The following is a 13,236-nucleotide window of genomic DNA, read 5'->3' on the forward strand; positions in this document are numbered from 1 at the left end:
ATCAGGCTTTCTCAAATACCCTTCCTCTACCCTTCTAGTCTATTCTATTTAAAAATACGTATTTATATATATATATATAGTTTTTGTCTCTCTCCCCTGGAAGTTTCTATGTATCTTGTTTGCTACTATATCCTGACACCCAGTAAGCACTCAGAAATGTTCTGAACCAATTTTGAGGTCCTTATGTTAAATACAGTAATCCCTTTAAAACTGTAAGTCAGATCATGTTTACTCTTCTGATTATCAACCCTCCAATGGCTCTCCACTGAGAGAAAAATGGCCCACAAGGCCCTACATGACCTCTTTACCATTATTCTCTAACGCATTCCTTAGTACTCTTCCCCCATCCCTCACTCACTACACAACAGTACACTAAACTTGGATAGAGACTACAGGCACTTTCCCAGGGGCTGTATAAGGTTGCTCTCTCTGCCTGCAACATTCTTCTCCAGATATCTGCAAGGCTATCTCACCTCCTTCACGTTTACTCAATATCTTTTTCTTCATAAAGCCTACCCTGATCACACCCTATTTAAGATTATAACCCCCTTCTCTTCCCACCCCAAGAAACATCCTCTGGAACCCCTTAACGTGTTTTGCTTTTTTCTCTTCCTAATTTATCATGTCTGATTAGTGTCTATGTCCTCCTGCTAGAATGTAAGCTCTGAAAGAACAGAAATCTTTGCCTGTTCTCATCACTGATAAATCCCAAGTACTAGAGAAGTGCCTATCAAATCATGAACACTTCAATAAATACTTGCTGAATGAATGAAGTTTAAAAAAATCTGCTACAAATGCTTCTCAAACTTTAATGCACACTGAAGATCTTGTTAGAAATGCAGATTCTAAGTCTGGGTTGGAGGCCAAGATTCTGCATTTCGAAGAAACTTCCAGGCCATGCTGATACTGCTGGGTTCTGTGAGAAGCAAGGATCTACATCACCCCTACTATCATCCAATTATTATACTGTACATAATAAAACATAATTTTTAACAATTAACCAAAAAATTTTCAAGTATGACCAGTACACAACTGACTCAAATTTCTACAGCACGCAAAGGACCACTCTGGCTAGGAGACAAATGAAAGCAACTTAATTTCCAAGAACTGTAGGTCAGCCATATTAAACAGCAATGTGATAATAGACTTCCAGCCCCCCGAAATACATAATGATGTACTTAGATCAATTCAAAAATATGTGATAATGATATATCTGTATTAATGTAGACTATAAAATTATTATGAAAGTGAAATATCTACTTCTAAGACATAAAGCCCAACAAATCAAAAACACTTAAAAACAAGAAAATGAATTCACGGTATTAAGATGTTTTCAACTCTTACCTCGAGAGCTTTAAAAAAACATTTGGAATTGTCTGAAGACTTTAAAAACTTCACAAAAAACGGTTCTTTGTCATTTCTGGACATTTCTGAACTGTCAAAATAAAGGAACCATTAACAAGAACAAAACCACATTAGATAAAAAGTTGCATGTTTAACCTACCTATTTTTCTGTGCAGACAAGAATGCCTAAAGACAGACATTCTGGCTCTGCCCGTGAATTCGTCAACGGCATTTCTAAGAAATCCTGGAACTTGGACAAAGCCAAGGTAAAAGATGACAACACCAATCCTTGCAAATCAGACAGCAAAATTAACCCGAATTGAATACACTGAGGAAGGCCCTGCTATGAAGGCTCTAAGCCCTTTAGGCCAATGGACATTCAATTGCACTTGTTTTAAGGATACACAGAGTGTATCTGTCCCTGCGGATACCCACGGCCTGCGAGGTACGTTCATCCCTCAGTAAACAGATTTTAAATATAAACATGGAAGCCAGTTAGCATGGTCTTGGCCCTGCATAAGGCTAGATGCTCCGGTTCCCATCTCCAGGAAAAGGCCTGGCTCTGGGATCACGGAAGCCACGTCCTCTCGGCGTCAAAGGCCCACCCGCCGGCTCCAGGGCCAGTTACCAGGACAGGAAAAGAGGGTCCTGAAGGCCACAGAAGGCATCGCGAACCCCAGTTGGGGCTGGGGAGGAGCTGTGTCCCCACTCCGCGCCTCACTTACCTCGTTGGAGCCTCGGGGTCTCCGGGCGGCGAGTCGGGGGACGCGCTGGCCGCAGGGCGGTGGCTGGGGTCGGGCGCCAGCCCGGCGCACAGCCCCCTCCCCCGACTCGGCGCCGCCCCTACCCCAAAGCAAACGCTGGAGAACCCGGAAATTGCCCAGAACGGGAACCGACTTTCGCGCCAACCGCGCGGCCGCGCTTGCCTTTTCCGGTGGAAGTGACGCCATCGGCAGCTGCAGCAGAAGAGCGGAAATGTCAAACGTGGAGGTGAGCAGTCTGTGGGCGGTGGGGCTTCAGGGAAAGCTTGGGCCGGACCCTTTGGGTTTAGGGCTTTGCTGGGCGGGCCTAGTCTCCGCTGCGAGTAGGCCCAGCGCCGTCGGTTCAAGAGGTAGGACCACAGGCCAGGAATACTCCTTTACTGTTAAAAAAGCCAGGGAAAGAAAGGATTTCCTCAATAGATATTTATTTTACACCTGTCTTATACCAGGCATGCACGGGAAAAGGTATTATCCAAAACAATTCCGTGAGGCAAATAGTGGTAGTTCCATTTTGTAGATGTAAAAACGGAGGAAGTTAAATGATGGGTTCAAGGGCACACGGCTAGTAGGTGGTAGAATTAATACTGCATCCAGGTCTTCTGACTACGGACTGGGTGGTTTCCCTCCAACACAGCAGGAATAGAATCACCGCCTAACACAGCCACAAGATGGCAAGGGAAGAAAGGATGACTTATTACACAGCTAATGCAAAGGGATCTTTGTCAAGATCTTCAATGGTCTCCCCTCCTCCTCCCCTTCAGTGGACATCGCCGTTCTCTTTCTCTGCATCTGCCTCAGTACTGGGGAGATTCTGGGACTGAACCTAAGATTCAGATGGCAGAGAGCAAAGGGAGAGGGGATAAGATGGGCCTGCAAACCTTAGTGATAACCAGCGGAAAACTGATTCGTTGTTGCTTCTTTTCATTTTATTCTTTTTTAAAAAAATTTTTTCTTATTTTATAAAATCTAGCCACTATACTAATGAGGATCATTTTATTATTCACTGCTGAGATTGAGAAAATGACTTTGGATTTACTAATGTAAAAGTATAATGCCATGTCCCTTGATTGTTTTTGTTTTTCTTTTCTTTTTAGAGCCTAAAGATAGTAATGAGCAGCTTGAGTCTTAAGTTTTTGAATACACCGATGGAAGGTGACAAAGATTCTTTGCTTGGCCAAACTTTAGTCAGACTCCTCAACCTTCTCGTAGGTTTATCTGTGCATTTCCTTGGAAAATCCAGTTAGAACCCTCTACCCTCAATATCTGATCAGGTTCCTCATCCTCTACCATCCAAGGTGATGTCTGATCACCTTGACCTATTTTCAGCAAGAAACCCCTTTACTCCTGAAGTTCCTTCTTAGTAATTTTTTATCCAGTGACCCCAAGCTTTTTGTTCCTTGGCTATAAATTCCCACTTGCCCATGGTGTATTTAGAGTTGAGCCCACTCTCTCTCTCCTAATTCAGAATCCCATTGCCATGGTTGCTATACCTATCCTGATGGTCCGGAATAAAATCTGTCTTACTGTGCTTTAATAAATATCATTAATTTTTTTTTTTTTTTTTTTTTACCAGAAATGAGTCAGAATCAATTAACACTGGGGCTCAAAGGTAAAGGCCTATTGCTGGGGGAAGGGTGAAGAAAGCCTTAAAAGCAAAAAAACAAAAATCACTAGAGGTGGGAAAAAAAAGAAACCACAGTTAATTGTTAAGGTGCAAATCTGACCTGAATCTGTAATAACAATTAATATTTCTAGGGCACTTTACAGTTAACATGGGACTCCTGCTCACACTATTCCCGTTTACTCTTTTCAGCAACCCTATAATAGATGGGTATCATTGTCTCATGTTATGGAGATGGGGAAAGTGAAGTTCAGGGACTGTGTCACTTGCCCGTGCCTTTCCTGACACACCACACTGCTCCTGGGCACGTGCTGTCTGCCCATCTCTGTGTGAAGTTCCACACCGGGGAGGGAGCCCATTCCTGGCATTTCTGGGCCAAGTAGAGACCTCACAAGAGAAGGAGATTCATAGATGCTGCTAATGAAGATGAAGAAAATGCACCCTTTAGCTTTTACCCAGCCGGAACTTGATACCAGAGGAGTGACCTGTCTTTAGAGTAAGAGTTCACCACTAGGGGGCAAGTTCTCCCATCTTGTGTCTCCAGATAAGCAGAGAGGGTCTGTCTCTAGTATCTACTCCTGGAAAATGGATAAAGCAGTGGTTCTGATGTGTAGTGTCTGGACCAGCAGCATCGGCATCTCCTGGGAATTTTGGGGGAATGAAAATTCTTGGGCTCCACTTCAGACTTATTAAGTCAGGAGCACTTGGGGTAGGGCTAGCAATCTGTGCCCTTCAGGTGATTTTGGTACACATTAAAGTTTGCTTGAACAGCAGTCCTTCAGGAAAGGGTGAAATGGTTAGTATCCACGGAGGATTGATTCCAAGGCCCCCTACAGATAACAAAATCTGAAGATGCTCAAGTACCTTATATATAACCTGTGCACATACTCCCATGTACTTTTTTTTTCTTTTTTTTGAGACGGAGTCTCACTGTTGTCCAGGTTGGAGTGCAGTTGGCACAATGTCTGCTCACTGCAACCTCCACCCCCGGGGTTCAAGCGATTCTCCTGCCTCAGCCTCCCAAGTAGCTGGGGTTACAGGCGTCTGCCATCGCACCCGGCTAATTTTTGCATTTTTAGTGGAGACGGGTTTCACCTTGTTGGCCAGGCTGGTCTTTAACTCCTGACCTCGTGATCCACCTGACTCAGCCTCCCAAAGTGCTGGGATTACAGGCATAAGTCACTGCGCCTGGCCACTCCCATGTACTTTAAATAATCACTAGGTTACTTATAATACCTGATGCTATGTAAATACTATGTAAACGTTTGTTATACTGTATTTTTAAATTTTGTTTTTTTATTGTTGTATTTTTTCTACTATGGCAAATTTTACATAAAAATTGTATTTTTTTTCTGAATATTTTTGATCCCCGGTTGGTTGACCTCCTCAGATGTGGAACCCACAGATACAAGGAACTAACTGTATATGGGTTTGTGGTCCCTGAAGACTTTGGTGAAAACAGGGAAAGGTTATGATATGCCCTCGGAAGCTGAGGTTTCGGTGCTTACTTTGGCAGCATGTTTACTGAAAAAAAAATGGAATGATACAGAGATAAGCATTGCCCATGTGCAAGGATGACATGCAAATTTGTGAAGCATTCCATATTTGCCGGTCGTGGTGACTCTCGCCTGTAATTCTAGTACTTTAGGAGGCCCAGGCTGGAGGATCACTTGAGGCTGAGAGTTCGAGACCAGCCTAGGCAACGTAGCAAGAACCCCCATCTCTAATATTTACAAACTTTTTTAAAAAAGAAGCTGGGGACCGGGTGCTATGGCTCACATCTGTAATCCTAGTACTTTGGAAGGCCAAGGTGGGCAGATTGCTTGAGCCCCAGACTTTGAGACCAACCTGGGCAACATGGTGAAACCTCATCTCTACAAAAAATACAAAAATGAGCTGAACGTGGTGGCGGGCATCTGTAGTCTCAGCTACTCAGGAGGCTGAGGTGGGAGGATCACCTGAGCCTAGGAGGTCAAGGCTGTGGTGAGTCATGATCATGCCACTGCATTCCAGCCTGGGATAACAGAGTGAGACCCTATCTCAAAAAAAAAAAAAAGAAAAAAGAAAAAGAAAAAAAAATGTAGTTGGGGTAGGGAATTAACTTTTCCCTCACTTTCCTGGCATTTAGGATCAGTTTCCTGTTTCTCTGGCACTTCTGTCACCTAGAGCCAGTCTCTCCAGACCCTGCTTGGGGTGACATTATGGGCAACTTTATCTGTTTATAGAATGGAAAAGGAGGCCGGGAGTGGTGGCTCATGCCTGTAATCCCAGCACTTTGGGAGGCCGAGGTGGGCAGATCATCTGAGATCGGGAGTTCGAGACCAGCCTGACCAACATGAAGAAACCCATCTCTACTAAAAATAAAAAAAATTAGCCAGGCATGGTGGCAGGCGCCTGTACTCGGGAGGATGAGATAGGAGAATTGCTTGAACCCAGGAGGCGGAGGTTGTGGTGAGCCGAGATTGCACCATTGCACTCCAGCCTGGGCAAAAAGAGCGAAACTCCATCTCAAAAAAAAAAAAAAAAAAAGAACGGGAAAGAAAACACAGGAAACAAATATGACAAAATAGTTACTTTTACAATGTGGGTGGTGGGAATATGAATATTTATTATTATATTTTACTACATAGATAATATTTCTCAAAATTAAAGCCAAACTAAAAATAGGTTTTTTGAGTTATAGAGTTTTATGTTTGTTTCCAATGCTGTAAATGAATAAATACGTATAAATAAATGAATGTACAATTTGCTTTGGTTTTTGTTTTGAGATGGAGTCTCGCTCTGTCGCCCAGGTTAGAGTGCAGTGGCATGATCTCGGCTCACTGCAACCTCCGCCTCCTGGGTTCAAGCGATTCTTCTGCCTCAGCCTCTTGAGTGGCTGGGACTACAGGCATGTGCCACCATGCCTGGCTAATTTTTGTATTTTTAGTAGAGATGGGGTTTCACCATATTGGCCAGGCTGGTCTTGAACTCCTGATCTTGTGATTCACCCACCTCGACCTCCCAAAGTGCTGGGATTACAGGTATGAGCCACCGCACCCGGCCTTGAATGTACAATTTAGAAGTGAAATTAGCAAATGATATTATCGCTACAGAAATAGTCTGATTAGCAAAACATTTGTTTAAACTATTGTCTTCAGTAACCTGGAAGATAGAACATAGGCCTACTAAGTCTCCTCTAGCAAAGAGGAGGTAAAATAGAATGTCATTAGCACATTCTATTCTATGTGGGTTGCTACTGGCTGCATTTAATTAGATAAGCAAAAGACAAGCTCAGGGAATTGGCCTGTTTGCAAACAAAAATAAAGAGAATTTAAAAATTCAGGCCTGGCCAGGCATGGTGGCTCATGCCTGTAATCCCAGCATTTTGGGAGGCTGAGGCAGGTAGATCATGAGGTCAGAAGATCGAGACCATCCTGGCTAACACAGTGAAACCTCGTCTCTACTAAAAATACAAAAAATTAGCCAGGCGTGGTGGCGGGCGCCTGTAGTCCCAGCTACTCGGGAGGCTGAGGCAGGACAATGGCGTGAACCTGGGAGGTGGAGCTTGCAGTGAGCTGAGATCGTGCCACTGCACTCCAACCTGGGCAGCAGAGCGAGACACTGTCTCAGAAAAAGAAAAAAAAAAAAATCCAGGCCGGATGCAGTGGCTCACACCTGTAATCCTAGCACTTTGGAAGGCTGAGGCAGGAGAATTGCTTGAGGCCAAGAATTCAAGACCAGCTTGGGCGACACAGCCAGATCTTGTCTCTAAAAAAAAGTTTTGTTGTTTTTTTTTAAAATTAACTGAGTGTGGAGGACACACACCTGTAGTCCCAGGTACTGGGAGGCTGAGGTGGGAGGATTGCTTGAGCCCAGGAGTTTGAGGTTACAGTGAGCTATGATCTCACTATTGCACTCTAGCCTGAGTGACAGAGCAAGACTCTGACTCAAAAAAAAAAAAAAAAACCCAAGTATGTGAGATTTTGCAAGGTTGGAAAAGCTGACTTCATCTGTGTCCTAAAAACAAGAGATAAACCTGAGAAAGGTTTTGAGCAACAAATGTCCATTACAACCCGACCATGTGGAAAAGATCTAGTTAAAGAATATGGTCCTGTCACCCAAGCTAGGTAGGCACCATCAACTGAGAGAGAGAGAGAGAGGTATGGGGCCAAAGATAGCAATCAGGTTTGAAAATTATGTCTAGGAAAGAACTAGGGAGGGGACTACTTCTGTAGAAGAACAGCTCTGCCATGACTTCCTCTATTGATAAGCTTACACATATCAATAGAGGCAAAGGCTTGAATTGCAACTTATCTGAGCCCTGGCACAACACCTTGTCATCCTTAAGGGAGGTGTCTAAGGAGCTACTAGAAAGGCATCTCTCACTCACCTTTCTATCTCTCCTAAGAGGCTGTCATGACATAGTTTCTCATCACCTCCCAGGTTTTGATGAGATATGGGGCTTTCTGCCCCACTCCCCTCATGATAGGCCTGCAGAATATAAAAGCACTAGCTGCCATCTAGATTTGACTCCTTAGTAATAGAGTATCCTACAACTCGCATTGCAATCATCAGACCCAGGGAGAAGACATCTTTCACTTATTCTTCTCTGTTGCTATCTATGGAAGTAATAAACCATCTAAATCTAAAAATGTCTCAAGTATGTTCACTGGTGGAATCAGGCCCTACCCTTGACCTTGTTTTGTATGTGTGAGGTTGACAATTACCACGTGAAACTGACTGGAACCAAATAGATCTGAAGGTTACGAACATTTTGAGATAATTGCTTTCTGAACCCAACCAGAAACCTGGAGTATTCAGACTTTGATTTAATCCTCAAATTTTCGCAGCACAAGTAGGTGGAAAGTCATACAGCCCCAAGGAGCACAAACTCCTCAGTATTCAGATATGGATAGAGAGGGTAATAGAAAATGAAGATCCTCCCAGAAGGAGGTACCAGGGATCCTGGAGAGCAACGAGCAAAGGAGCTCCTGTCACAGAACAGAATCTGATCTAATCAGAACCCCCAATCGAGAGCCTCCTAGTGCCTGCCCAACTTCAAAATTGATACTGACCAATGATGGCTATGGGTCTCCACTCCTCCCTTTTCTGAAAGGGAGTTTTATTGTTGTTATTCTGTTTGTGCCTCCCCATTCCCCAGTGTGTAGCAGATGTGTGCTTGGGCAGGGAGGGAAAAAAACATGTCTGGATTCTGGCAGAGACCATGTAGAAACCCTTAGTGTCCCACCCATACCCCCTCACCCTTAGCACTCATGCACATTAGGAAACTTCCAGCTGCCAGCATCTGTGTTCATTGCATGAAGGCATTCTCTGGCACCAGGAATCTGCTCTGCCACCTGCACAGTAGGCCAGAGGGCTAGAGGATTTATGACCTATAGGGAAAAAAACCCCTTAAATGATGGCTGACAGGAGTTGGTGCACAAAAACCCTTGTTTGCATGTCCCGTGGATGGGACATCCACTCTGACTCTCATAGTTTCCTCAGGGGAATTAAGTCCCAGTGTCCACAGTGGCATCTGACTTGTTAACACATTCTTTGGATGCCTTTCTCCCTGTCTCACATCTCTATTTTCTTTTTTCTTTTTTTTTCTGAGACGGAGTTTTGCTCTGTTGTCCAGGGTGGAGTGCAATGGCGCGATCTCAGTTCACTGCAACCTCCGCCTCCCGGGTTCAAGCGATTTTCTTGCCTTGACCTCCCGAGTAGCTGGGATTACAGGTGCCTGCGACCACACCTGGCTAATTTTTTGTATTTTTAGTAGAGACGGGGTTTCACTATATTGGCCAGGCTGGTCTCAAACTCCTGACCTCAGGCGATCCACCCACCTAGGCCTCCCAAAGTGCTGGGATTGCAAGCATAAGCCACCGTGCCCAGCCACATCTCTACTGTCTTGCCTGTGTTTCTTTACTTGTCAAATAAAACATCTGAGAAGGCTTGTCTAAAAGTCTGTTTTCTGGGTCTGCTCAAACTAAGACAAAAGACCCCAGACATGTGCTCCCCTTTCATAGTGTTTTGCTGTTGCTGAGAAGTAGTTTCCTAGCCAGAGACTATGGTTCCCATCCTCTTTACAATTGGTGGGGTCATGGGACTGAGTTATGGCCAATAGAATATAGGTAGAAGTGATGTTTGTCACATCCGAGCTTGATCCAAGGAAATTTCTTGCACTACCTTCCACGCTCTTCCTTATTCTGTCATTTGAATATCAACACACAGAGCAATCTTGGAAGCCATGTGTTGAAAATGGCAGAACCTCTCTCAGCCTGGATCTCTGAATGACTGAATGGAGCTATGAAAGTGAACTCCCCACTCCCACCCTAACAAATCACCACGATTGCTGCCAGATGGGCTTTATGTTACTAAGAGGTCAACTCCTATTGTGTTAAACCATTAAGATTTTGGAGCTTTGCTATTATAGCAGTTAGTGCTATTTGTGAGACACTATTTTCCAACCTTATATTAGAATGTTGGGCAAGAAAATTTGATCTCTGCCCTCATAGACCCTATTTCCTTTCAAATGTATGAATAAGTGAAGGGAGAGCCAGGACAGTTAAATCCAACCAATTCTGAACTTGGAAACAGTTTAAACAAACATGGTGCCCCATGCCGTTATTACTTCAAGATGCCTTGGAAAGGGGAAAGTGTGAAATTGCTCCAGAGACAAATGTCAGAGGCCACATGAGAAACAGCATGGACTATGGAAGCAGGCTGCCTAGTTTGAATGCCAGCTTGGACACCTACTAGCTACCTGACCTTGGGCAAGTCACTGGTTAACCTTTCTGTGCTTCACTGTCTCTCTGTACAAAAAGAGGATGGCAATAGCCTTATGGGGTTACTATCATTTAACATTTGGGAAGCACTTAGTACAATGCCTGGTACACACTAATAAATCTATAAATCCCAAGTTTTCCAAAGACCATCTTTGCCGTGAAGTTTTAAAACTGTTTTCCACCATACAAGCATCTAACCTTCTGCTTTGCTATTTATGAGAGCCTGTACCAAAGCACAGAAATGACTTTAGCACTTTGGATGTCCTATCTTTGCAATATCACTTTGTCCCAGTACACACGAAGTTTTCAGAGTTTGATCTAATCTAGGGTCGGGGGCACAGTGGCTGCTATTGGATTTAGGCTGTGTTAGTTTTAGGTGAATAATTAACCTTAGAAGGAATGATCACCTCTGGACTTTATTTGGTTTTTGTCCATAGGCCTGCATAGGAGATTGCTCAACCCACTTTTGAGACATTTGTGTGCATTTATTGATCTGTTTGATTTTTTGAGCCCAATACTATAGCAGACAGTATTTTCCAACCTTGTGTTAGAATGTTGGACAAGAAAAAAGTGATCTCTGCGCTCATAGATCCTATTTCCTTTCAAATGTATGAGTAAGTGAAGGGAGAGCCAGGACAGTTAAAGATGAACCACTCGGCACATGGCCAGGGGGAATCTGGCTTTACCTGAGCAGAGGGTCACTGCTGGCTTACAGAGAAGCCAGCCGAACTGATGGCAGTCTCAGGGCTGGAAAAACAGAAGTGGAGGCAAGATCCCATTGAGAAGGGAGGAGCAGAGAACTAAGCTTGACAAAGGGCCAGTTTTCTCCTTAAGATACTTGGCACAATTTGAAGTTCCATGGAATGGGAGATAAAAAGATAATGCCACACCTTGAAGAGGCTCCAATAAATATATCAAGTATATGAGGTTCCTGTTACTACTGTAACAAAACTTAATATCTTACAGTTTTGGAGGTCAGAAGTCTGAAGTGGATCTCACTGGGCTTAAATCAAGATGTCAGCAGGGCTGAGTTCCTTTCTGGAGGCTCTGCTTCTACATTTAAAGAACCCTTGTGAGGATATTGGCCCACCTGGATAATCAAGCAATACATTTCTCAATAAACCATGAGTTGAATAAGAAATCACAATAAAATTAGAATATATTTTGAACTGAATAACCATGAAGTTATAATATATCAAGAAAAGGAATACTTATAGGCAAATTTATAGCCTTTATCACATGTAATAGAGAAGAGAGGCTGAAAAATCAGTGACCTTAACTGCCTTAAAAGAAAAAAAAAGGCAAGAGAGGCCAGGCATGGTGGCTCACAGCTGTAATCTCAGCACTTTGGGAGGCCAAGGCAGGCAGATCACTTGAGGCCAGGAGTTCGAGACTGGCCTGAACAATATGGTGAAACTCCATCTCCACTAAAAAATAAAAATAAATAAAAATTACCCGGGTGCTCTGTCTAATGCCTGTAATCCCAGCTACTCAGGAGGCTGAGCCAGGAGAATCACTTGAACCCAGGAGGCGGAGGTTACAATGAGCCGCAATCTTGCCACTTCACTCCAGCCTGGGCGATAGAGTGAGACTCTGTCAAAAGAAAAAAAAAAAAAAAGAAGAAGAAGAAAAAGGAGAAGAAGGAAAGAAAGAATAAAGAAGCTAGAGAAAGACCAAAATTCAAAGTCAACAGAGCAGAAATCAATGAAACAATAAATGAATGTACAATAGAGAAAAACAGCAAAGCCAAGGTTGATTCTCTGAAAAGATTAATGAAATAGGTAAAATCCTGGCAATACTAATCAAGGAAAGTAGTAAACATAAATCACTAATATCAGCAATGAAAATACTAAATACCATATACTAAAAATGTCAAAGGATAAGATCATGAATGATTTTATATCAATAAATTTGAAAATTAGATAAAATGGACAAATTTCTTTAACAAAAAACTTACCAATATTGAAACTTGAAGGATCATAAAATCTGGATATTTCTCTAGCTATTTAAGAAACTCAATCTGTTATCAAAAACTTTTCCACAAGTAAAACTCTAAACACAGGTGGCTTCACTGGTGAGGCCTTCCGAACATTTAAGAAAGAAAGAATGCTATTCTTACACAGTATCTTCCAGAGAATAAGAAAAGAAGTAACATATTCCAATTAATTTTATGAGCAATTAAAACCTTGCAACCAAACTTTTAGTGACATTAAGATAAAGAAACCTGCAGAATGATTTCTCTCACGAACACAAATGCAAAAAATCCTAAAAAAAAAAAAAAAAGTAATCAAGTTCAGCAATATGTAAAAAAATGTTATACGTAATAGCCAAGTGGGGTTTATTCCAGGAATGTAAGAGTAGTTCAACATTTAAAAATCAATTAAAGGAGTCCAGCGTGGTGGTGCACTGCTGTAGCCCCAGCTACTTGGGAGGCTGAGGAGGGAGGATCACTTGAGCCTAGGAGGTGGAGCCTTCACTGAACTATGATCCCACAGCTGCACTCCAGCCTGGGCAATAGAGCAGGACCCAAGCAAGAGGGAAGGGAGGGGAAGGGGAGGGAAAGGAAGGGGAGGGGAGGGAAGGGGAGGGGGACAGAAAAAGGAAAGAAGAGAGAAAGAGAAAGAAAAAGAAAGAAAAAAGAGAATAAGAGAAGTTTACCACATTAATATAAAAGAAAAGGGAATCATATGAGTATCTTAGGTGCAGAAAAAATACTTGACAAAATGCAATACCCATTCATGAT

The 13,236-nt window shown here is 43.0% G+C and overlaps 3 protein-coding genes and 1 pseudogene across 10 annotated transcripts in view, besides 4 other annotated features; 3 read left to right on the plus strand and 1 right to left on the minus strand.

Moving 5' to 3' along the window:
• TOPBP1 (DNA topoisomerase II binding protein 1) overlaps positions 1-2,242 on the minus strand; it is a 61,704-nt gene extending 59,462 nt beyond the window's left edge. For 6 of the 8 annotated variants that reach the window (NM_001363889.2, NM_007027.4, XM_047447358.1 and 3 more), the window contains exons 1-2: positions 2,070-2,242; positions 1,345-1,435 (exon numbers count right to left, since the gene is read on the minus strand). In NM_001363889.2, the coding sequence (NP_001350818.1) occupies positions 1,345-1,428 (84 nt within the window). In that variant the 5' untranslated portion in view covers positions 1,429-1,435; positions 2,070-2,242. The remainder of the gene's footprint in view (positions 1-1,344; positions 1,436-2,069) is intronic. The other 2 variants (XM_047447355.1, XM_017005636.3) reach the window with 1 other exon arrangement.
• On the plus strand, positions 1,527-3,639 carry LOC124909487 (uncharacterized). Its single transcript, XM_047449438.1, has 3 exons — positions 1,527-1,647; positions 1,814-2,334; positions 3,200-3,639. The coding sequence occupies exons 1-3, from the start codon at positions 1,527-1,529 to the stop codon at positions 3,347-3,349; spliced, it is 792 nt and encodes a 263-aa protein (XP_047305394.1). The 3' UTR covers positions 3,350-3,639.
• Positions 2,029-2,198: a silencer, noted in NCBI's record as "silent region_14749". NCBI's record gives its function as "represses an Ori minimal core promoter by ATAC-STARR-seq in GM12878 lymphoblastoid cells {active_cell/tissue: GM12878}" and the evidence as "EXISTENCE:reporter gene assay evidence [ECO:0000049][PMID:35858748]".
• The window catches only part of TF (transferrin), a 134,644-nt gene continuing 123,706 nt past the window's right edge, over positions 2,299-13,236 (plus strand). Inside the window, exon 1 of the mRNA NM_001354703.2 lies at positions 2,299-2,334. The gene's annotated coding sequence lies outside the window, so the exon portion shown is untranslated. The remainder of the gene's footprint in view (positions 2,335-13,236) is intronic.
• Positions 2,599-2,668: an enhancer, noted in NCBI's record as "active region_20554". NCBI's record gives its function as "activates an Ori minimal core promoter by ATAC-STARR-seq in GM12878 lymphoblastoid cells {active_cell/tissue: GM12878}" and the evidence as "EXISTENCE:reporter gene assay evidence [ECO:0000049][PMID:35858748]".
• RNU6-678P (RNA, U6 small nuclear 678, pseudogene) lies at positions 5,227-5,335 on the plus strand (annotated as a pseudogene).
• Positions 10,804-10,948: an enhancer, noted in NCBI's record as "145 bp enhancer 82 fragment used in the MPRA reporter construct; PK_construct_313". NCBI's record gives its function as "activates an SV40 promoter by MPRA in HepG2 cells {active_cell/tissue: HepG2}" and the evidence as "EXISTENCE:reporter gene assay evidence [ECO:0000049][PMID:23512712]".
• Positions 10,870-10,883: a transcriptional cis regulatory region, noted in NCBI's record as "HNF1 motif; enhancer activity is reduced when this motif is scrambled". NCBI's record gives its function as "necessary for full MPRA enhancer 82 activity {active_cell/tissue: HepG2}" and the evidence as "EXISTENCE:site-directed mutagenesis evidence [ECO:0005528][PMID:23512712]".

This window comes from Homo sapiens, chromosome 3 (genome assembly GCF_000001405.40).
Source record: "Homo sapiens chromosome 3, GRCh38.p14 Primary Assembly".
NCBI classification, from domain to species: domain Eukaryota; kingdom Metazoa; phylum Chordata; class Mammalia; order Primates; family Hominidae; genus Homo; species Homo sapiens.